General features: G+C 39.1%; 1 protein-coding gene across 3 annotated transcripts in view; it reads right to left on the bottom strand.

Moving 5' to 3' along the window:
* The window catches only part of DAZ4 (deleted in azoospermia 4), a 73,221-nt gene extending 59,379 nt beyond the window's left edge, over window positions 1–13,842 (bottom strand). For 2 of the 3 annotated variants that reach the window (NM_001005375.3, NM_020420.4), the window contains exons 1-6: window positions 13,533–13,842; window positions 6,785–6,931; window positions 6,419–6,510; window positions 5,807–5,858; window positions 5,307–5,370; window positions 5,078–5,217 (exon numbers count right to left, since the gene is read on the bottom strand). In NM_001005375.3, the coding sequence (NP_001005375.1) occupies window positions 5,078–5,217; window positions 5,307–5,370; window positions 5,807–5,858; window positions 6,419–6,510; window positions 6,785–6,931; window positions 13,533–13,535 (498 nt within the window). In that variant the 5' untranslated portion in view covers window positions 13,536–13,842. The remainder of the gene's footprint in view (window positions 1–5,077; window positions 5,218–5,306; window positions 5,371–5,806; window positions 5,859–6,418; window positions 6,511–6,784; window positions 6,932–13,532) is intronic. The other variant, NM_001388484.1, reaches the window with a different exon arrangement.
* Window positions 13,843–24,349: the final 10,507 nt, after the last annotated feature.

The raw sequence follows: 24,349 nt of genomic DNA, 5'->3' as shown, positions 1-24,349 counted from the left end.
ACACACCATCAGTGAGAAAATACTAATACGTGATTTACCAAGAGTACTTTGGAAAAGCTGTATCATAATTTGATAAGCGGGGATACTCACCACTATACTAAAAAGGAGAATTCATTATAAAATTGTTATACAAGGGGCAAAGTGCTTTCACCTAGCAATTCCACTTATAGCAATTCATCTCAAGAAATTAATAGTACAAGCGTGCCAAGATATTTACACAAAGATATTCACAGCATTGTTCTTTTTGAGACTGAGTCTCTCTTTGCCGCCTAGGCTGGAGTGCAGTGGCACAATCTCAGCTCACAGCAATCTGCGCCCCAGGATCACGTGATGCTGCTGCCTCAGCCTCCCGAGTAGCTGGGATTACAAGTGTGCGCCACCACGCCTGGCTAAATTTTTTGTATTTTTAGTAGAGACAGGAAACAAAAATCATTCAAATATTCCTTCACATTTTCAAAAACACATGAGATAACACAACATTGAAGTACATACGCTGGTTCCTTTAATTTGTTATTACAATAAAAGAAACAGAATGGAAAAAAGAATTACTTCAAGTTTCTAATCCCTGACGTTCTTGTTGTTACTTTTATATGTAAAACCTCAACTTTTTCCCAATTTTCTGGGGTTGGTATTGTGGAAATCTCAAGGATATTAGTTCTTTGAATGTATTACCATAGATATGATCATGGGTCATATATACAGTCATATCTATGAAAAGAGACACAGAGGACTACTATTGTGAAGCAGCCAGCTAAAATAAAAATATAATTCAAATTCTGTGCTCTAAAAAGTGGGTAATAATTTTATTTCACTCTGTCTCTCTAAAAAACTGATAAAAGTCAGTCTGGATGTTTCGGCTATTTGACGGCAAAGATTTAAAAAAAAAAAAAAAAAAAAAAAACATGCTACAATATAGAAGGGGACACCAAATCTCAAAAACCTATTCTACAGTAAAGTTTTTGCTAAGTACATTCCTGTCAAAATATTACTCAATTACTTCTAAATAATACAGAGGCCTTCATTCTAGACTAATTTGAAGTGTTGTCTTAAATTTTAGGTACATTTCACTTCTTTAAAATGGCAAACTATTCAAGCAATTTGTATAAACAAAGGGCTCAATAATATCTGAAAGTAAATCATTTTACTCCCTCTTAAATTACCTGATAATTATATACAGGCAAATGATATCTAGTGATGCCGTGAACTGCTGAATTTGGGTGAGTAGTGTGTGCCTATAAATAAAGTTTACAGTAAGAATGAATGAATACGGTAAAACATTTTGTTAATTAGAAATATTATTCCCAATATAAAAAACTATGAAAAAGTTTTAAAACATTACTTTTCTATATACAGCACTGCAGAATTCTAAATGAGTGACTGATTTTATGAAGAAGAAATATTCTGTCAAGTGAGGCCCTTTGGCTGGGGAAGGGGAACAGACAAATGACAAAAGAAGGGACTATTTCACCAGACAAGTTTACCTTATTTATACTGTGTACTTACGCCCGCCCAGAAGTTATTTCTTACGCTGGTGATAAGGCTCTATTAAGACAGACTTCAATTGTAAGTTAAATTAATCCATTTGCTATTTCTTTGTTAAAATACTTCTAAAGGGTTTTCTATTTGACAATATTATAGGGTAATACGACGTTCTCCTACAAATGTTACGGCTTTTTCTGTACTTCATTTCAAAAAACTAAGGGCAGTATATGATCCACAGCTGGAAAAGAGACAGTATGGTGTCTTCTACGTTTCAATAAATACTTACTGATTGAAAACTATACGTAGCATCACACATGAATACACCCAGATTACGTAATGGCTCACCGTAAATGTGAGAAACAGGGCTTTTTTGCTAGCCATCGTTCAGAGGACAAAAAAGAAGCAGAGGTATACCCTACCTGTTTCAAGCACATGGAAAACGTCAACAAACGAGAGACACTGAAGAACTATTTCACCACTATTTTGTTACTTTATTTTCCATCAAAGAAAATGTCTTTTAAACTAAGACATCAATAAAACAAACTAAAAAGAAAATAAACATTACTTATCCCCAGTAAGTGACAGAGTATGTCAAATCCTACTTTAAATATCAAGGTAACCAGCATCAGAGAAATCACATGCCCGAAACTCACGGGATTTATAAATATAGGAAAACACATCAGAAATCTACCCATTCCAGAACCAGAATATATCCAGAAGTCAGCAATCTATATGAGGAGACATCTGGAAATCATTGCAAGTAAAGAACAGCTGGATGAATTGCTAACCTTCGGGAAGAATAAACTAGGCAGACACACGAAGACAGCTGCTTTCAAATATTTTCGGAACTAGTTATGTGGGGGGAAAGCAGTTCGGGTGTTTTAGAGGTAATACTCTTTTTTCTTCCTACTCTTATTTAAGAGTAATTAATAGCAAAACATTTCTGTTTCTCTTGAACACTTTTTTTTTTTTTTTTTTTTTTTTTTTTTTTTTACGGAGGGTAAAGCCAGAGGCAGATTCCAGGCAGATACATGCTCATTCTAAAGCCACTATTAATACTACCTTTCATGGAGTGTATAGTCTATCAAAAAGTTACTGAATTCTTTCTTATCATCATGTGTACGAGCCATTCCTTAAGCACGCAAAAACCTGACAGAGAAAAAGGCACTGTTGCTCCCATAGGAGTTTAAAATTGGGTTAAAAAGAAAGTAACAAAATGTGCCACATTAATACAAAGAACGATTTAAAAAATTTATAGGCATATATGACACAGAAAAAAAAGAAAGAACAGGGAGTATAGGTTCGGCGCATTCACTTTATCTGAAGTACAGCATAACTCCTTTGCTCCCCAACAGGCCACTGCGGTGGCAACTTGAAAAAAAAAAAAAAAAAGGAAACCAATATTATTCAAATATTCCTGTACTTTTTCAAAAACACATGAGATACACAATACTGAAGTACTTCTCATGCTGGCTCCTTGGTTAATATAACGAAAGAAACAGAATAGAAAAAAAGAAGTACTTTAGGTTTCTAATCCCTGAAGTTCTTGTTGCTCCTTCTACATAGAAAACCTCACCTTTTTCCCAATTTTCTGCAAATGGCATTGTGGAACTCTCAAAGATACTAATTCTTTGAATTTGTTACCACAGATACGATTATCGGTCATAGATATACTCGTATCGTTGAAAAGAGACCCAGAGAAGTCTTTATCATGAAGCAGCAAGCTAAAATAAAAACACAATTGGAATTCTGCGCTCTAAGAATTGGGTAAAGCTTTTATTTCACTCTGTATCTCTACAAAATTCACGAAAGACAGTCTGCCATGTTTCAGCTCTTTGACAGCAAAGATAACAAAATTCATGCTGAAACCAAGACAGGAACACCAAATCTCAGAAACTGTTCTGCAGAAAAGTTACTGCTAAGTACCCTCCTGTCAAAATATTATTTCATCACTTCTACATACTACAGAGGTCTTCATTACACTAATTCTAAGTGTTTTCTTAAATTTTAGGTACAGTTCACTAGTTTAAAAGGACAAACTATTCAGGCAATTTGTATAAACAAGTTGAAGGCCTCAGTAGTAGCTGAAAGTAAATCATTTTACTCCCTCTTCAATCACCTGATAATTATACACAGGCAACTGATACCCAGTGATGACCTGACCTGGTGAGTTTGGATAAGGAGAATAAGCCGAGAATAAAGTTTACAGAAGGAATGGATTAATACGGTAAAATGTGTTTTTTTTTTTAACTAGAAAGAAATACCATTCCCAAAATAACAAAAATACGAAAAACCTTGAAATGGTAATTATTTTTCTACATACAGAAATACAGATTTCTAAATGAATGACTGACATGAAGAAACAAATATTCTCTGTCAAGTGCTACCCTTTGGGCGGGGAGGGGGAAGAGACAAATGACAAAACAAGTGACTGTTGCACCGGCCAAAGTCTACCATATTTATACTGTGTACTTATGCCCACCCAGAAGTTATTTCTTACGCTGCTGATAAGGCTCTATTAAGATAGATTTCAACGTAAGTTAAAATAATACATTTGCTCTTTCTTTGGCAAAATACTTCTAGACTGTTTGCTATCTGATGATATTATAGGGTAATACTGTAGTTCTTCGGCAGATGTTACGGCTTTCTCTGTACTTCTTTTCCACAAATTAAGGGCAGTAAATAAGCCACAGCTGGAAAAGAGACAGTATAATGTCTTCTACTTTTCAATAAATACTTACTGATTAAAAACATACAGGTAGCATCATTCATCAATACACCCACATTCAGTAATGGCTCACAGTAAATGCTACAAACAAGTAGGGCTTTTCTTCTAGCCATTGCTCAGAGAAGGAAAAAGAAGAAGAGGTGTACCCCACACGTTTCAAGTACATGGAAAATGTCAACAAATGAGAGACACTGAAGAACTAATTCACTACTATTTGGTTACTTTATTTTCCATCGAAGAAAACCTCTTTTTAAAAACTAACACATAAATAAAATGAACGAAGAACAAACTAAACGTTATTTATCACCAGTAAGTGACAAGAGTATGTCAAATCCTACTTTAAATATCAAAGCAACCAGCATCAGAGAAATTACGTGCCAGAAACTCACGGGATTTCTAGATAGAGCAAAAGAGATCAGAAATCTACCCATCCCAGAACCAGAATATACCCAGAAGTCAAGCAATTTATATGAGGAGGCATCTGGAAATCACTGCAAGTAAAGAATAGCTAGGTTAACTGCTAACCTTAGAGAACAATAAACTAGGCAGACACATAAGGAGGGCTGCTTCCAAATACTTTAGGAACTAGTTATATGAGGTGAAAGAGGCAGAGATAGGAAGAGATTTGTTCATGTGTCTACAGAGGTCATTTCTAAGAGAAAGCTTCGCCAAGTATACAGAAGATTCTTAGCTCAAATGACGAACACGAAGAATAAGAAATTTCTAACAAAAGTAACAGATTTCCCGTTACTCACACTGTTCAAACAGGGATTCTATTGCCACTTACTATGGAAAGTGTAGATACAATTCCACAGAGGGAAGGATGACTAGAATAAACAAGAGAACAGGAACATAAGCAGTTCTTACCTGAACGTGCTGAGTTACAGGATTCGGCGTGATTTGGGGCTGCAGGTAGGTTTCAGTGTTTGGATTCCGCCAGACGTTCTGAAACTGTGGTGGAGGAGGAGGATTAACTACCAAAGGACGTGGCTGCACATGACGAGCACCTTTTTAAAAAGCAAGAAGAAAAAAGCCTATTTTTAGTTATTTGAAAAGCTACACGGGTCAGAAAAGAACCATTTCTTTTCCTACTCACATAACTTTTGTTTCCTGATTGCAGGGCCCAGCTTCAGCTTTTTACCATGGAAATGTATCTGTGACTGAAAATAGAACCGTTAACAAAACTAGAATCAATTTTCAAGTGTTAGCTTCCAAGACTTGGGTAAACACCTGAAGTCTTCTAAAGTACCTATCATCATAGAAGATCGGGGACAACTACGCACCAAATTAAAATTTGTCATCACGAAGCTACCTTACTTACCCTTACTACTCTAATCAGTGTCAAGAGGCATCAAGTGAAAGTTGATCAAAAACTTTCCATCACCCTGTCTCCAACCCTTCCTGTCTGTAGTTCATGAAACTAGGTGTCCAGTCAAAAATAAACAGGATCAAACAAGCTACGTGAGGTTACTCTGAGTTTGGATTTTGAACAGGAAGTGTGTCTTTCCCCAAATTTTACACAAGTCCGAGTGTATCACTGACACTAAACGTTGTAGCAATAAGATAAATAAGAGATTTTTCTATTAGATTACTTACTCCTACTATCTTCTGGACATCCACGTCATTAACAAACGAAACAAATCCATAGCTATAAAGGCAGACAAATGAAGCATAAAATCACCATCATACAGTACGTGGTTCAGAAGGTCTACTATTCTATATACAGAAGTGATCATGACAAAAGACGAATAATATACCATGATAAGTATTTGCTAAGATGTACATGACAGATCCTCTACAAATACCACTTTTTCTTAAGCAGAACTATGTCAAAATGTGCTAGGATTAGGGCAGTGTGACAACTTTATTGATTAGCAAAGAATTCATATCTGTGAACCTGAGTTTAACTTACTGTCTAAGACAAGGTGGTTAAAATTTAAGATGCTCTGCAGTGTATGAAGAAAACAATTATTTGAGAAAACTGATTAACTCATCTGTATGAAATAGAAACTGGAGACATTTAAATACAAACATTAGAAAAATGGTCAAATAGAAGAACTGGTAATAGCCTTTTATCCCCTACGTGAAAGAAATTAACACTGCAGAATATTGCATTTATACAAGGGTCAGAATATCAGTTTTGAAGTCTTGTCTGATACTTATAGAATAGGTGACTGGAGTTCACATATTTTTGATAAAATTACTCACCCTTTGGACACACCAGTTCGATTCGTGATTATCTTCACTTCTTTCACTGAACCGTATCTACCAAAGCAGCTTCCAATCTCAGTTTCATCCATCTATGGAAAAGAACTGAACGTCAGAGTAAAAATTCAGCATTCAAAAATTTCAACTTTACTACAATTTTACTACCATGAGGTGGAAATTTCTCCCCCATTTATCCCCGAATGACCAGCAGCCCTTTGTCAAAGATATTTTTAGTACCTATGGGTCAAACCTAAAAGCAATTCTAAACCTCCAGGAAGTACAAAAAAAAATTTAAGTTTGTAACAGGGCCCACATCCCATTGTTCATGATGTATGTTAAGGTAAAAATGAGGTACAAATACAATACCCTAGCATCAATTCCACCAACAAAAACAGTGTTTGGCACGATTTTGCCTTCTGGTAACACCCAGCCTTGGCTAGCTGCAGCTGATGAAGACTGGGTGCTGGCCTCTCTGGAGATGGTTGAGTTTGGAGTCTCAGGATTTGCAGCAGACTGTAATTTGGAAAGTAGACATCATAATTACGTATGCAGGCAAAACCCATACATAATGTGAAATACCATTTTTGTATTTTAAGTATATTTTACATAAATTACTTTCATTGTAATTCAGTCACCAGTGCAGCTCAGTTCAGGCTCAGGATTTAAACTTATCAGAGTACATCAGCATGGAATTTTAACCGAAGGATACAGTACTTTCTTAAACCTAGTGCCGCTCATCACCGAGTCTTGTATAATGCTGTGGAAGAATACCCATTTAGTATTTGTGAAAGTACTACGTGAAGTAGTTAAAAAAGACACCCAAAACTAGAGAGTTTAGATTTGTAAAAATTAAAGTTATTAAAATCATCCTGTTCTATATTCATAAACAACTTTTCACTTTACTGAGTAGACTAAAGATAAATCTTAAAAAAAAAAAAAAAAAAAAAAAAGCCCCACCAAAAAGAAAATAAGCCTCAACGTTTTAAACCAATTTGTTACAATCCTCTTCCCTAACGCTAGGGTGTTCAAAGCATCTTTTGAAATAACATTTTTCTTCCTGAGTAACACGGAATCAGTCTGACTGATAATTCTGATTTTCACAGTGGGCTGATAGATATAAATGATACCATCTTTATTTTCAGATAAAAAAACACATACATATAACTCACTAATTTTCTAGATTCTGATCAGAACTGTCTTTATTCTTTCCACAGCAGACTCTAAGGTTAATGTAAAATTTTCTGAAGTAGTATTCATAAGTAATATATACGTTGGAGAAACAATATAGCATAGTGAAACAAAAATTAATTCAGTCAGGAGATCTAGGTTTATGTCCCTTACAGGTAAGTGGTTATAAGCCACCTACTTGCCAGCTATGTATCTGTGGGCAAAGTGCTTTGAGAATGACATGAGATCACATCTGTGAATTCATTTTGTACGTATAAAGTGGTACAAGTGGTGTGCCAATGTAAGTTAGTGTCCTGTTATTTGAATTTATTTTCAGCCGATTTGTTTTCAAGTTTCTTTTTTGGCTTCACTATTTAGCTGACTTATTTTGAAAAAAATTTTAATTAAGAACTAATTGACACATCAGGAAACTATGACACATCATTAATTTAAAAATCATTGGTGAAGTGCTGTTGACTTCACAAATATCAGTACAAAATGCTGCAAAAGAGAAAGCTATTACACATATACCTGTCTGAAAGAAAACAAAAGACAAAAGAAACTGCGTTATCTTTTAGAACACAGTAATGTTACAGAAGTTAATAAGAAAGGAGGGTTCCTGCTTTGTTAATTAGAGCCTAGAAGTTACTGATTCTACACAGCTTTACTAGAGATCAAATCTAAATTGTCAAATCAACTAAAGCCGAGGTTACTGCATTTCTCTATTCTTTCGTGCTTGTACTTGCTATTTTGGGTTTGTAACTAATTCCTAATTCTTTCCTTTAACAGCGTTATTTCATGACAATGATGTGAAAGAAAAATTTAAAACACTGTTTTTAAAGTTCTTCCTTTCAAAAATGTCTCACATTATTGTTTTTTCCAAATGACATTAAGCTGCACTACCTTGAACTACTGGGAACCTGATTAGATCTCCCTTCCCTATAGACAATTTACCAATTCCTTCTCAGTTCATTCAGAAATCCCAAACAGAATAAAACAAAACAAAACAAATTCTGAAATTCTTGTAGTTTCTTTTTCTCCTTTCCAATTCCTCCTTGATTTGTGGATGAACTTTGGGTACGTGTTTCCTTGATAAACAAGCTATATTACAGTATCGTCTCTGCACCATAGTGTTTGGATGTATTTTAATTTAGAAATGTAACATCTGGCAGAAAACTGTGTCAGACTACGAGAGGTTATGGAAATGCACTGATTCTCAACTGGGCAAGATTTTTGAGCCCCAGGGGCATTTAGCGACGTTTAGAGATTGGCTGTCACAACTGAGATGTATTCCTGGAATCTGATGGGCCGAAGGCCAGGCACACTACTGCGCATCCTACAGTGTAAAGACAGCCTCCTACCATAAGGAAGTATTTGGTGCACAATTTGAAAAGGGTCTGGTTAAGAAACCTTGTCACCGTGCCACAAGAATTGAAGAGGAAAATTCTTCTTTGGGAAGAACCTGATTTCCATCGCTCACTAAAGTGAATCTTTTCATGACCTCGGTTTCAGTTTCCTTGCTTGAAAACGAATGGCCGGAAAAGACCTCGGGTGTCTCTTCTGATTCTCATACTCATTTGGATACTCGAAATAACCGTAGTTTGGTAAAGAAGAAAAAAGGCATTTGATATTATTAAGAAGTTTGACTTTAGCTTGGATCTTACAAACCGGCTGCCTGCTTAACTGGAATCGTACATATAAAATTCACTGAATCTCTCTAATAGCGTCATAATACTTTAAATGAAGGAAGTAATGATCATGTCCTAGTCCTCAGCCAGCAGGTGGCGCTCAAAGCTAACAAGGTAAGCAATGTACCTCGTTTTCTGCAACGTACTTCACTTTTACCATGGCTCGAGTAGCAGGGATTGTTCAATTCCGACTGTGTACTTATACATAATTATATAATGTATATATAAAAATCCACAATCAACAGACAAACTTTGGTTAGTTTTAAACTACGGCCAAAAATATAAATGAATGCTTCGGATAAGCAAAAGTTTAGTTTGAAAGAAAGTACCATCGTAACCGTCAATGGCATCCTGAAAACAAACTGCATTAAAGAAGTAATTTTCTTGGCCGGGCGCGGTGGCTCACGCCTGTAATCCCAGCACTTTGGGAGGCCGAGGCGGGTGGATCATGAGGTCAGGAGATCGAGACCATCCTGGCTAACAAGGTGAAACCCCGTCTCTACTAAAAATACAAAAAATTAGCCGGGCGCGGTGGCGGGCGCCTGTAGTCCCAGCTACTCGGGAGGCTGAGGCAGGAGAATGGCGTGAACCCGGGAAGCGGAGCTTGCAGTGAGCCGAGATTGCGCCACTGCAGTCCGCAGTCCGGCCTGGGCGACAGAGCGAGACTCCGTCTCAAAAAAATAAAATAAAATAAAACAAACAAACAAACAAAAAAACACAAAACACAAGAAGTAATTTTCTTAACCGTATCTTCAAGTGAGTTGTTGAATTTTCAAATGAGAAATGTTGCAATAGTAAACAGGGGTGAGCTTCAAGACCGTCATAATCACAACTCTCATTGCTATTTCTAGCAAACATATTCCTTGTTATATGCGGACAATCAAGTGACAAAGACAGCTAAAAGCTGGAAAAAATTATCATTAAACTCCTGCCATGTCAGCTCCTCTGCCAGTATTATCTAATGCAATTACTATGTGAACATGTAAGCAAATTGTTATTTACATAAACTGGCCAGGAAAAAGCCTATCATTTGTAGTCATCAAAGTTACATTCACAGCAATAGGAAGAGGAGCAAATAAAGAGAATGCTAAAATTAAGAAAATATGACGTGAAAATCAGAAGTTAATCCAAGAACAGAGTCCCGGGGAGTGGTGGGTGGCAAGGATGAAATTCAAGCAATACACAATCCTTGCAAAACTAAGCAAGAAAAAGCAAAAATATATGAGACCTGAAAAATGGGTTGTGGCCCGTGGTTATAAAAGAATGTTATGCTCAAACTCTATAGGAATAAATTTTGAAATCAACGACATGGTCAACTTGTACAGAAATTTTAATTCTTCCCAAACAATCTTGAAAAAGAACACCCAATGGTATTTGGCTTAGTTTCCCTGGGAGTTTTTTCAACTTGTAAAGAAACATGTAACTTGGGTGTATGTGGTGTGTCACAGAGAGGTGCACACAGACGCCAGAAACCTGAAGTAAAGATAGAAGAAGAGATTAAGAAATGTAAACTCTTTTCTTCAATTTTCAAAGAGGAAAAAAGTACTTCTCAATGCATTTTACAAAGGTTAACAACACATAAGCAACAAAGCCTCATCAAGATGGTCCAACCCTCTCCTCAACACAAATGCAAAATTCCAGTAGGAAAGAATATAGTTTATATTGGCAATGCAAGAATACTGCATTCGCAGGATACGTTACTTTAATTCATCATTGAAAAAGTATTTAATAAAATACAGCATTCATTTTTAAATTTTTTAAAAACCTAAGTAAAATAGAAATAGAGGATTCTTGCTTTCTATCAATCTAATTCTACCCTATCATGAAGCTTACAGTGAAATACTAGAGCCATCTCCACTGAAAATAGGAATAAGGTAAGGGCACCATGGCACCTCATCATTACTACTATATATATTTTCCCACTATGTATGACAAATGCGAATATTAATACAGGGTTTTTATGAGTCAGTAAGAAAAATAAAATTAAAAAAGGAAATTTAAAAAGCTAATGATCAATGCTCAACTTCACTGATGATTCAAAAAAGTGCACATCAACATAGTGTAACATTATCCAGCTATTAGGCTGACGATGTACAAAATCCTAATACCGTTCATTAGAAAGGGTGTGCAACAGAGATCACTCTACACACCATCAGTGGGAAAATACTGATACATGCTTTACCAAGAGCACCTTGGAAAAGGTGTATCATAATTTGACAGGGGGATACTCACCACTATACTAATGAGGAGCATAATTTAAAATTGTTATGAAAGGGCAAAAGCACTTCCACCCAGCAATGCCACTTACAGCAATTAATCTCAAGGAATTAATAATTAAGTACAAGTGTGCCAAGATATTTACACAAGGACATTCATGGCATTTTTTAAATTTTGTTTTGAGACTGAGTCTCCCTTTGTTGCCTAGGCTGGACTGCAGTGGCACCATCTCAGCTCACTGCAACCTGCTTCCCAGGTTCAAATGATTCTCCTGCCTCAGCCTCCCGAGTAGCTGGGATTACAAGTGCACGCCACCACGCCTGGCTAATTTTTCGTATTTTTAGTAGAGATGGGGTTTCACTATGTTAATCGGGCTGCTCTCGAAATCCTGACCTCAAGTGATCCGCCCGCCTCAGTCTCCCAAAGTGTTGGGATTACAGGCGTGAGCCACCGCGCCCAGCCCATGATAGTTTTAATACTGAAAAAGTATTCATCATAAGGGAATTCAGTAAAACAACAGTACAATTTTTAACATGATATACTGAAAATTAAAGTTATCTTCAGAATAATACCCACATTAATTGAAAGCTGCCAGTTGTAAAATAGTATTAAGCAGCACTATGTAACTTTTGTAAAAGCTGGCCTATCTATATGCAATTGCAATACATGCATAAAAATAAGTTGGAAAGGCATTCATGTATCAAAACTTAACTGTGGTTTTATGTGTTGGTATTAACATGGACTGCTATTTTCTTAGTGTGATTGTTTTCAAATGAGTAAATATACTACACTACTTTTATAATCAGGAAAAAAACCTAATGAAACGATAAGCATTTCTTCCCTCTACCTCTAAAAATGAAAAGTATTATTGTAAATAATTATAACTTATAACTCAAGGTGATTTTTTCATTAGCATGGGTAACATGTTGCACACTTATTACACATTATAGTTGCTTATGTATTTTTAATGTTTATACATGGTAATATAAACCGTGTATAAAACTCCTCCTTTTATTTCCAAAAACGAAAAGACAAAATTATCAATGCAGATACGCACACAGCATGTAACACGCGTGTTTGTGACTCAGTGTTTGGTCAGCGTATTCAGAGCCACATCTGTGATGGCGCTCAATGAACGCTGGGCATTTACCAAACTCACAGAAATGCACACCCAACATTATCTACCAATTGGACATTTAGTCAAAGTTTCCTGGTTTATCTACGGGGGAAAGATTGTGCCTGGAGTTTAAAAATTCTAAAATTCTCAATGGTAACTGCCGAAGCCAACCTCTTGCCACAAAGATGGCGTCGAGTGAGCTTTTGTGCCTGTCGCCGCCGCAGTAGGGAGCCGCCATCAGCCAGCCGCCATCAGCCAAGCCCCCAGCAGCTGCTAGCCGCGAAAGGATCAGAGGCACTTCCCACCCAGCCCCCTCAGCTAGTGGGCCGCGCCTTCAGGCCGCCCCACCCGCCACACTCAGGCCCCCACAAACCCCACCAACCCACCCCACCCAGTAGTACAAGGACCAGGAGGGAACCACTTCCTGAAGAAGTTCCGGCCCTCCCAATCCAAGGAGGCAAGTCTCTCAGCAGGCCCGCCGCCATCTTGCGGAGCCACCAGGAGAGCGTCAGAAGTGAAGTTGGCGGGGTGGGGGCGCGTGGGAGTGGGGGAAGGGGGAAAGGGCGCCTAGGAGTGGGGGTGGGGACGCGTGGGGGTGGGGAACCCGCACCCCAAACCGCTGCCAGGAGAGAACCCGGGGCAGGAAATGGGTTCCGCAAGGAGGCCGTGGCCCTTGTAAGTGAACTGTGAGGCAGGGCGTCCTGGGGACCCACGCCATGCTTGCTGTCCCGCCACTTCTGTGCCTGCCTCTCTGTATAGGCCGCGCTGCTGCCAGGCCGCCTCACCCCACCCTGCGGGCCACGGCTCCTAATGCATTCAGCGGGGTGGCCCCGAAACAGGAAAACCGAGGATAAGGCGGAGCCTGGTTTCACCCACCGGTGAAGACCCCACAGGCCTTGCCCCTCAGGTCTTTCCTTCAACTCACCATGGTGGTGGCAGGCAGCAGCTCCCGACAGGCTCAAGGAGGAACAGAGGCAGTGTTTCACCCACCACTTCTGGGTCTGCTGGTGAAGTCCGCTGGAACACGCTGTGGGGCTTCGAGTGGTCAAAGGAGCCAAAGGCTAAGGTGTAAGGAAAACCAAGGGCGGGCGAACCCTCGGAGGTAGAACCGCCAGGCTGAGGAGCGCAGGCCGACTGAGGCATGGACTGCGGGGCTCTGGGAGGTGGCTCCTGTGCCGGGTATCGGGGCGCGTGGTATCGGCCTGAGCCAATGGGTGGCAGCACACCCGCCCCCTGGAGGGTGGAGGCCTGCGGGGGATGACGGCCGTCCCCCACGCTGTGGGTGCGCAGAGTACGCAGGGTATGCCGTGCGTGTGTGCTGGCCAGTGCCTGGGTTCCAGGCAGGCACCGCCTCCAAAACACCCTTGAAATAAGTATGCATACTGAAATATATGGTATAGTTTTAAAAAATGATAATGTGTCTGGGCTGTAGTTTCAAAATGGCTTCCGGAATGCACAGGTTTAGCACAATCACTGTTAGCGTCACACCCACCCCAAAATCTTTTAAAGTACCTGCAGAAATAAATAGTAGCAAGTCTGTGGAAAACGGAGGGAGACATCAACAGGCCAGAAACTTGGACTCCTTTCTGTCAAGTTTGAGATATAAGGGGTTGGATGGGAGGGAACGCCAGTTTTGACATTCAGGATGTTCCTTCTTTCAAGAGATAGTTACTGAGTGCCTGTGATTACCAGGTACTGCAGATGCAGGAGTGAACAGAATAAAATAATATCTCTTTGCTCAGGGATTTTACATTTTAATGGAAGACTTCACCTTCTAGGACTTACAGAAAGACGCTAGGCCTGCCTAGAGACTTACAGAACATTCTCAAGATCAGAGCAAGGGCCTAGAGCGGGAGCAAGCTGTGGGGCAGGTGGTGGAGCCAATCACATAACTTTGGGGACCACTCCAGCACCTGGTTATGCACACAGGGCTACGTGGCTATGACCTTTATCCTCAAACTTCACTTCTGTACTGACGGAAAGAATTAAAATGTGACTTTTTGAACTGGCAAAATGCTGGACTGCTATAACGTGAGACGTGTCTCACTACTGACATCTAGTAATGCGGGATAAAAAAAAATAACGTTTTGTTTCCAATAGGCAGATAAGCCCATAAAAAAAGAAGGGAAATTCCAAGAACCAAAAATCAACTGAAAACCAGAGCAATGAATTGTTCAAATGATTGTTCTCCTGCCCTGGATATGGGGGCTGGGTTGTAGGGCAGCCAGTCATACTCGTTTGCCCAGGACTTACTGGTTTTAGCACTGAGAAATTCCTGCATCCCTAAGGAAACCAGAAGGATTGGTCCTCCTAGGTGTGGGCAAAATGTTACTCTCTCTAACTTGAGGTCTGGATGTTTAGGGGCAGGAGGTAAGGGCTCAAGGTGGGAGCTGGAACTGAGTACTCTGCAAAAAGCCATTGTCCCTAAAATCCTTAGGAAAAGGATGGAGTGGGGAAAATATAAATCACCCATGAACGAGCAGATGAGGAAGCTTGCCCCATCTCTGGATGAAGAAAATACGTATTTAACTCTCATTATATTTTAAAACCCTAGACCTGCATTTCATCAAAGTTTGGGGTTTAAATCTGTGACATATTATTGGAATCTGCAAGCCAAGAAATGGGTCCTCCTACACCATCACCCTCTCTCCTGCCTAAAGAGATCCTAGACATGGGGCATCTAGAATGCCTGGCAGAAGCAAACATAAAGCCGACTTGGATGAATCCTTCTACAACCTAGGCTGAAAGAAAATGATCCTTTAAGGACACGCTCACAGTAAAAATTTATACAACACTACTTATCTTGAATAAGAATGGCATACAAACAAGAAAGTTAAAACTTACAGAAGAAGCTTCTCAGTAGCAATAGAAACTAGAAGATAACAGTAATATGCTCACGTGTGTATGTGTTTTGTTTTGTGTTTTTTCTTTTTGTCACGTTATTTTTTTCCTCAACTTATTTGGAGTAATGCAGTCTATATTTTTAAGTGACTGTTTTACTATTTGAAAATGTAAACTTAAAATATAAAGCTAATACATAGCTTTACTCTCCTCTTGAATAATACAAAGGCCTTTAGGATGTTTTAGCTTTGGACACCCTCCCCTCTCTCAGTTTATATGTTATTCACTATTTTAGCTCTATCCTGGTTTCACCATATAAATTAGACATCGTTTTTTTAGACCCATCCACATATGTAGTAACATTTTGCTTACCATTTCTTTGCATATCTCAGATCTGCCTTCTGAATCATTTTCCTTACGCCTGTAGCAAATTCTTTATAATTTCCTTGTGTGACAGTGTGATGTGGTAAACTCTTGGGTTTTTTTCTACCTAAAATATTTTGATTTTTCCCTGTTGTTTCATAATTATACTGAATATATAATTCTAGGTTTAAAAGTATTTTCCCTCTCAGAATATTGAGCATATTACTCTGTTATCTTCTAGTTTCTATTGCAACTGAGAAATCTGCTGTCAGTCTTTTTGCTGTGTAAGATCAGTTTTTCTTTGGTGTTCTGAACTTTCACAATGATGTAAGTAGGTGTGGAGTTTTTAAAAATTTTGCCTGCTTAGGAGTTTTAACACTTTCTGGATTTGTGTATTAGTTCTTAACAGTTCTGAACAGTTTCACCCATTTTCTTGTTAAAGGTTAGCTGGTCAAGGGATCAAACATTATTTGTATTTTATATTTCATAAGTGATTCTTAGAATTTTCTTTAGATCATGAATTTTTTAAAGGCTGGTGCTGTTTTCTTGAAATCTTATGAAATCTCTTAAAAAATTTTTAGGATCAAAACTGATTGTATCCATTTCAATGTGTTAAGTAAGATTAGTGGCATAATTCGTATCAGCTCAGAAATAGATCTCTATATTTCTTCCTATATGCTGGGGGAGAAGAAAAAATGCTGGTGTCTTTGAACACCTCTGCCAGTTCTTCTGTGCTCCTAAAGCCTACGGCTTTGGAAAGAAGGCTACGTTTGTATAGGCACACTTGAATTTCAATCACTTGCAAATCATTTTCAAGATTTTTGTTTTATCTGCCCTGAGCGTCTATTATTATTTACCTGTTTTTAAAATTAACTTATTGTCCTAAACAATAACATTTGCAAGATCAGATGTACTGTTTTAGCTACATTTTAAACGGTGACATTAAAATAAATACAGAAAGATTCAAATTTAAAACACTGTTTGTTTATGCGTCACTTCATACCACATTCTGCCAGGTCAACAGGTAACATGGTTTTGGGAAACACTGGACTAGCAGAACTCCATAGAGCTTTAGATATGCAAAGTTAGGCCCAAGGGACTAAAGAGTAGAGTTTCAAATTGTTCTGCCTAATAAATGAGAATAATCAAATTACAAGGGGAGAAACCAAGCAAGGGGTTGGGGGGAGAAGTGGAAGTCCTGGAAGCTGGAGAAAAGAAGTAACCTTGCAGGTTGGCTTATTTGCTCACACCTGTAATTCTCACACTTTGGGAGGCTGAGCCCGATGGATCGCCCAAGTTCAGGTGTTTGAGACCAGTCTGGGGAACATGGGAAAACCCTGTCTCTACCAAAAATACCAAAAATTAGCTGGGTGTGGCAGTGTGCAGCTGTGGTCCCTGCTCCTCAGGAGGCTGAGGTGGGAGGATCATTTGAGTCTGGGAGGTGGCGGTTGCAGTGAGCCAAGATTGCCCCCACTGCATTCCAGCCTGGGTGACACAGTGAGACTCCTTCTCAGAAAAATGAAATTAACCTTGCAAAGAGACAAGAAGTTGGAGCCTGCAGTGAAAGATGTCTGAGTATATTAGAAACTTTTTTTTATATATGTTTTAAATAATTTATATTTTTTAAATATAATTTTAAAAATTATATTTATTGTTTAAATAAATTTAACTATTTTTTAAACAAATTTAAAAAATTTGTATGTCCGTGCCTCACCCCAAACCAACTAAATCAGCTGAGGGCAGGGCTCAGAAGTCAATATTTTTTTTAAGGAAATGTTTGTCTTGTTACTCCAATATGGGGCCAAATTTGAAAATTGGTGCTATTGGTGCTATGGAGGCTTGCTACTCAGTGTATGTAATCCTCAGATCAGCAACTTCACATCACGCGGGTGCTGTAAAATCTCAGGTCCCATGCCAAACCTACTGAATCAGAGTCTGCATTTTAACAAGATCTCCAAATGGCTCATGTGCACACTGACTGACGGTCAAGAAACATTGCCATCGAGAGCGCTTGTCATAAACAAGTTGCACCCCCCCTGGATCTGAGAATGCTTCACCTTATAAATAAATAGTCTACTTTCTCAGCCTTTCTTGCAGCTACATCTTGGGCAGGTAACCTACACAACAGCAGTGAGATGCACCCATCCCAAATTTTGAAGAGGGGACTGCTGATGCTGTAAAGAAGGGACTGCAGAGAATTCTTTCTGGAGAAGAGTATCAACAGCAGCAGCGGCAGCCATGGTATCGGTTAGAGCTGCGGTGGCCACTACTGTCAGTTGTGCAAGCCACGATGTAACTCAGTGCCCAGTGGTGACAGCTGAGGTTTCTTCACTGGACAAGTTCTGCGGCACGGTTTTGTGTGTCATTCCTGGAGACAACCTGGCTCTTTGGTTCATTTTGAGATTCTGTGGGCTAGTTATCCAATAAATTTTAATAAGTTGTTCTCCTGTTTAAACCAGCCAAAACTTCTGTGACTATTGCTTGCAACGAAGCATCTTGACTACATTAGGTGATGAGTGAGGTTAGCCAGACTGCTTTTAAAAAGAAGGTTAACAGCTAAAAGATTTATGACTCTTTACTGTGATTATGTAGCATACTGTCCTGCTATAGTGTCCAACCTTTACCAAGCTTCCAGTACACACACAAATGCCTTATGTCAGCGGTATTTTGTGAGGAGTGTCAAGGACACTGTCCGTTGCAACATGGGTCAGGGACAGCATGCTGATCCACAGCAAGATGATATGTAGATGAAATAATTCAGTAGGAACAGTAGCTTACAGCCAAAAGTGACCTGGAAAAGCAAAAATCATGAGCTCAGTATGCCCAGCAAGATAGAAAGAAATATGTGCTATTCCCATTGCATGTTAGCAGATGTTTAAACCAATTCCATTTAAATCTCAGGGTATGGTGCCTCATCTTCTGTTGGACCTGTATTCGTGTGGTCCAGCATAGCAACACACATCTCGTGTACACTTGTGCATACTTACAGATATGTCTATCAACTGAGCAACATTGGCTTAAGCCCTGCCTGTTCACCTTTAATCCTACTACCTGCAATAATAGTTTATTCAGTCAAAACTTAAATCTCCTAAGCAGATTGTCTGAATTTTGGGATTGGTCTGAAGCAAACGTGCATAATCTTCATGATGGCCTCTTGATTCTAAATATTAAATATTTAACTGAAAAATTATCAGTTTGTTAAAAGTAATAATATTGACACAAGGCACTGATACTGATACGGTGCATACTATGTACCAGGCATTATTGTAATCATTTTACTTCTAGTTCATCTAATCCTCATAACAATACTAGGTGCTATTATTATCTCAATTTTATGGAGAAGGAAGTAGAGGTACACAGAGGTTGGATAACTTGCCTGAGATCATAGTTGGTAGGCATCAGAGCTGTGATTTAAACCCAGTCAGACTTTAACATCTGAGTTCTCAACCAGTATGCTATATTAGCAAACTACATGGAGGAAGAAAGGGGTAATATAGTGGGACAAATTTATGTATTAAATGTCTTGTTCCCATGAGAGTAGCTAAACAAAGAAGCAAAACCACAAATCTAAGCCCTAAACAACACTATGGTCTGAATGTTTGCCCCCACTCAACCTCTCACCTGTACATATGTTGAAACTCTAGTCCCTGGGGTGATGGTATCAGGAAGCGGAGCCTTTGGGAGATGAATTAGGTCCTAAGGGCAGAGCGTTCGTGAATGAATGATGGTATTAGGAAGTGGAGCCTTTGGGAGACGAATTATGTCATGAGGCCAGAGCTTTGGTGAATGGGATTGATGCCCTTGTAAAAGAGGACTCGGGGAGCTTAGTTACTCCTCCTACCATGTAAGAATACAGCAAGAAGTTGGCAGTCTGCACCCCAGAAAAGTGTCCTCACCAGAACCTCACCGTGCTGACACCCTGGTCTTGGACTTGCCAGTCTCCAAAACTGTGAGATACAAATTTCTGTTGTTTATAAGCCATCCAGGTTCAGGTATTGTTATTATAAGAGCCTGAACAGATTAAGAAAGGTAGTACTGGGAGAGGGGTGCTGCTATAATAAATGCCTAAAACTATGGAATCAGTTTTGTAAATGGGTAATGGGTAGAGGCTGGAAGAGTTTTGACATGTATCCTAGAAAAATCCTACACTGCTGTGAACAGACCAGGCCATAAAGGGTGATTCTGATGAGGGTTCAGAAGGAGAAAAGGAGAGCTGTAGAGAAAACTTGACTCTTCTTAGAGAGTACCTAAGTAGTTGTGAAGAGACTTAGTAGAAATATAGACAGTAAAGACCATTCTGACGTGAGGAACATGTTATTGGAGACTAGAGGAAAGACAATCCTTGTTACAAAGTAGCAACAAACTTGGATAAATCATGTTCATGTACTATTGTTTTGTGGAGTATTGCTTTTACTATAGCAGCCTGAACAGATAATACTTCTATCTACACTAATGAATTGCTCCAAAACAATTGGCCCTTGAGGAGCCTATCTGCTTAACAAAAGTAAAATTTCCACATTTCCTTCTGAATTTTGCCTGTTAACAAATCTTTCAGTACTTTTTTCAAATGTTGGAATCAATCTCATCTCTACACCACTGACTGCCTACTCACACACATACTTCTCCCAGTTGCTTTGAAACTGCTTTTTCTGCATCAGGAGGCATCACTACTGAGCAAACTCTTGCAAATCACAAGTTGAACACTTGTGGAGAAAGCAGAGAGAAAAAGCTGGTATAACTCACTCTTCTTCCTTTCCTCATCCCTAATCATGCTAACCTTCATTTCCTTAGTTTTATTCTTTCTACATTCATTTTTTGTTTCTTATCCATTTTTGACAATACGAGTAATAGATAATATGTGCCCCTTTCTTTAAAATACTAAAAACATTCAGGTAGGCTTAAGTTACCTTTTGACCACCAGCTCTACATCCCAGATCCATTCCCAGAGATGGGTAGTTTGGTGTAAATCCTTTCAGATGTTTTTCTAGATGTTTCCTTTTATACACTTATAGGGAACATTTGATATTTGAACTTACAGAACATATTTACTAACATAAAATATGTGGCATTTTTATTATACTTGTAATAGAGAAATTATATTCATATAATAAGTACTATGTATATGTATACATATTGTAGAAAATGTATGCTTACACTATATATTTATACTTAGAGGGTATATAGAGGGAATATATATTATTTGGGGTATATGTTCTTGAACAAAAATGCTATTAAAATGTATGTAACTTGATTTTTTTCCTCCAAGAACATGACTCAGAAATACCTACATTAACAGGTAGATTTTTTTTCTTTTTTAGAAATGAGGTCTTGCTGTATTGCCCAGGCTGGCCTGGAACTCCTGGGTTCAAGTGATCCTCCCACCTCAGCCTATGAGTAGCTGGGACTATGGGGGTACACCATCACACCCAGTTACTCAGAAATTTCTAATGTCAGCACATATATATATACTTAATTCCTTTTAACTTTGGCATAATTTTACATAATATGGATATGCCACCATTATTAGCCATTCCCTGGTCAATGGACATTTAGGTCACTTGTGCTTTGTCGTAGTTATTAATAATATACAATGAACCTCTCTCATTGGAGCCAAATGAGTATTTATTTTTTCTGGGGGTGAACGCCAAGAGATATATCTGTCGGGTCATGGATATGCACATTTCAAATTTTAATAGATATCAGAAAATTGCCCTTTGAAGTGTTGTGCCAGTATGTACCAATTTACACTCCACCATTTGTGAGTTAGAGTCTTCATTTGTCTATTCACTTTCCAATATTGATATCACTGCTCTTTAATTTGCCAACCTGATGGTCAAGAAGTGGCATCTCATTTTCATTTTACTTTGGTTTTCCCTGATTGCTCATGGAGTTAAACTTTTTTCTACTGTTTGTTGACTGTTTGGATTCCTCATTGCTGAGAGACCTGTTCATAGCCTCCGGTCATTTTTCATTTGAGTTGCTTGTCTTTATCATATTGTTTTGTGGTAATCTGGCTTCTTTCATTTTTTTGTTTGTTTGTTTGTTTGTTGTTTTGTTTTCTTTTGTTTTCAGGCAGAGTCTGGCTCTGTTGCCCAGACTGGTGTGCAGTGGCGCGATCTTGGCTCACTGCAACCTCTGCCTCCCAGGTTAAACTGATTCTCCTGCCTCAGCGTCCAGTGTAGCTGGGACTACAGGCACACACCACCACGCCTGGCTAATTTTTGTAGTTTTAGTACAGATGAGGCTTCACCATATTGGTCAGGCTGGTCTCGAACTCCTGACCTCAGGTGATCCACCCACCTCAGCCTCCCAAAGTGCTGGGATTACCGGCATGAGCCACCACACCCAGCCAGCTTCCTTCTTTATCTTCCTCCTCAGTCCCTCAGGCAAAGGTGCAGCGGTATTGGTGCCTCTTTGAAGTTCCACTTCAGTGTGATGAACTACAGTTACATTTATTTTCAAGAATTTCTTTTCCTAAACTGGAGAAATTTAAGCCATGAATCAGAGAGAAAGGGAAATCTCTGGTGTAAACATTAACCACTGAAACTTTCAATGTCTTTGAACCCGTCAACTCTGCTGGACCTCTTTCTAAAAAACAGATGAGAGTTGTTACTCAAGTCAGTTAGCCCTTTAGTACTTTCAAACATTTTTTTTTTAGGAGCTCAAGGAATTGCCAGAGAGAAGGAGAACTGTTAGCTCTGATTTCTAAAGAGCTTTCCTAAATATTGATTGCATTTTTTAGGCAATGCGACAATCTCAAAGCACTTTGCTAAGGGCGACATTGTGTTGAGGTCTAACTGTTAAATTTCTCATCTTGCCCCGATTCCCTTAATTTACAATGAGAATATCTGTAGAGAAATGAGGTGAGACATCAGGTGAGTAAATACACATTAACAGGGGCAGCATTTACAGATTAGCAGGGAAGGTTCTGATGACAACTTGATTAATGCAAAACTAAATTAATCAATCTCTGATCACCACAAAAAGGAGCGGGTGAAATGTTTCTTTTTTCCTCATGAAGGATTTTTTTTTTTCTGTGACTTACGTGGCATTGACTGAAAAAAAAAAAAGTCCACAATTTCAAAACCCTTTTGGCAAAAACTTTATGTACCTCTAGCTAGCATTGGGTCCAGGTTCCAACATTTCACCCAAAAGTCCAAGTTCAAAGTCTCACCTGAGACAAGGCAAGTCTCACGTATGAGCCTGTAAAATCAAAAGTAAGTTAGTAACTTCCTAGATACAATGAGGGTACAGGCATTGAGTAAATACACCCATTCCAAATGGGTGAAATTGGCTAAAATGAAGGTGCAGCAGACCCCATGCAAAGTCTGAAATCTTCAGGGCAGCCAAATCTTAAGCTCTGCAGTGATCTCCTTTGACTTCATGTCTCATATCTAGATCATGCTGATACAAGAGATGGGTTCCCATGGCCTTAGGCGCTCCACCCCTGTGGTTTGCAGAGTACAACCCCCTTCCTGGCTGCTTTCACAGGCTGGCATTGAATGTATTTTGTATTTTCCAGGAGCACAGTGCCATTCTGGGGCAGATCCCTAGACATGCAGGCATTGTCATGCATCCTCTGAAATCTAGGCAGAGGTTCCTAAACCTAACTTCTTGGCTTCTGTGCACCCACAGGCTCAACAGCACATGGGAGATGCCAAGGCTTGGGGCTTGCAGCCTCTGAAGCAATAGCCTGAGCTCTGTGTTATCCCCTTTTACCCATGGCTGGGATGCATGGCACCAAGTCCCAAGACTGCACAAAGCAGCAAGGCCCTGTGCCCAGCCCATGAAACCATTTTTTCCCCCTAGGCCTCCAGGTCTGTAATAAGAGGGGCTGCTATGAAGTTCTCTGGCATGCCCTGGAGACATCTTCCCCACTGTCTTGGTGACTATCATTTGGTTCCTTGTTACTTATGCAAATTTCTGAAGCCAGCTCAAATTTCTCAACAGAAAATGGGTTTTTCTTTCTTTTCTGTCACATCATGAGGTTACAAATTTTCAAAACTTTTACACTCCATTTCACTTTTAAACATAAGTTCCAATTCCAAACCATCTCTTTATGAGTGCATAAAACTGAGTGATTTTAGGAGCATCCAAGTCAATTCTTGAACACATTGCTGCTGAGAAATTTCTTCCACCAGATACCCTAAATCTTCTCCTTCAAGCTCAAAGTTCCACAGATCTCTAGGGTAGGTGCAAAATGCTCCCAGTCTCTTTGCTAAATTATAGCAATAGTCACCTTTATTCTGCTTCCCAACAAGTTCCTCATCTCCATCTGAGACCACATCAGCCTGGACTTCATTGTCTATATCATTATCAGCATTTTGGTGAAAGACATTCAACAAGTCTCTAGGAAGTTCCAAATTTTCCCTCATTTTCTTGTCTTCTTCTGAGCCCTCCAAACTGTTCCAACCTCCGCCTGTTACCCCGTTCCAAAGATGCTTCCACATTCTTGGATATCTTTATAGCAGCACCCCACTCTCAGTCATACCAACTTACTGTATTAGGCCATTTTCATACTGCTATAAATAACTGCCC

This window comes from Homo sapiens, chromosome Y (assembly GCF_000001405.40).
Source record: "Homo sapiens chromosome Y, GRCh38.p14 Primary Assembly".
NCBI lineage: Eukaryota > Metazoa > Chordata > Mammalia > Primates > Hominidae > Homo > Homo sapiens.
This window is presented reverse-complemented; position numbering and strand designations above follow the sequence as displayed.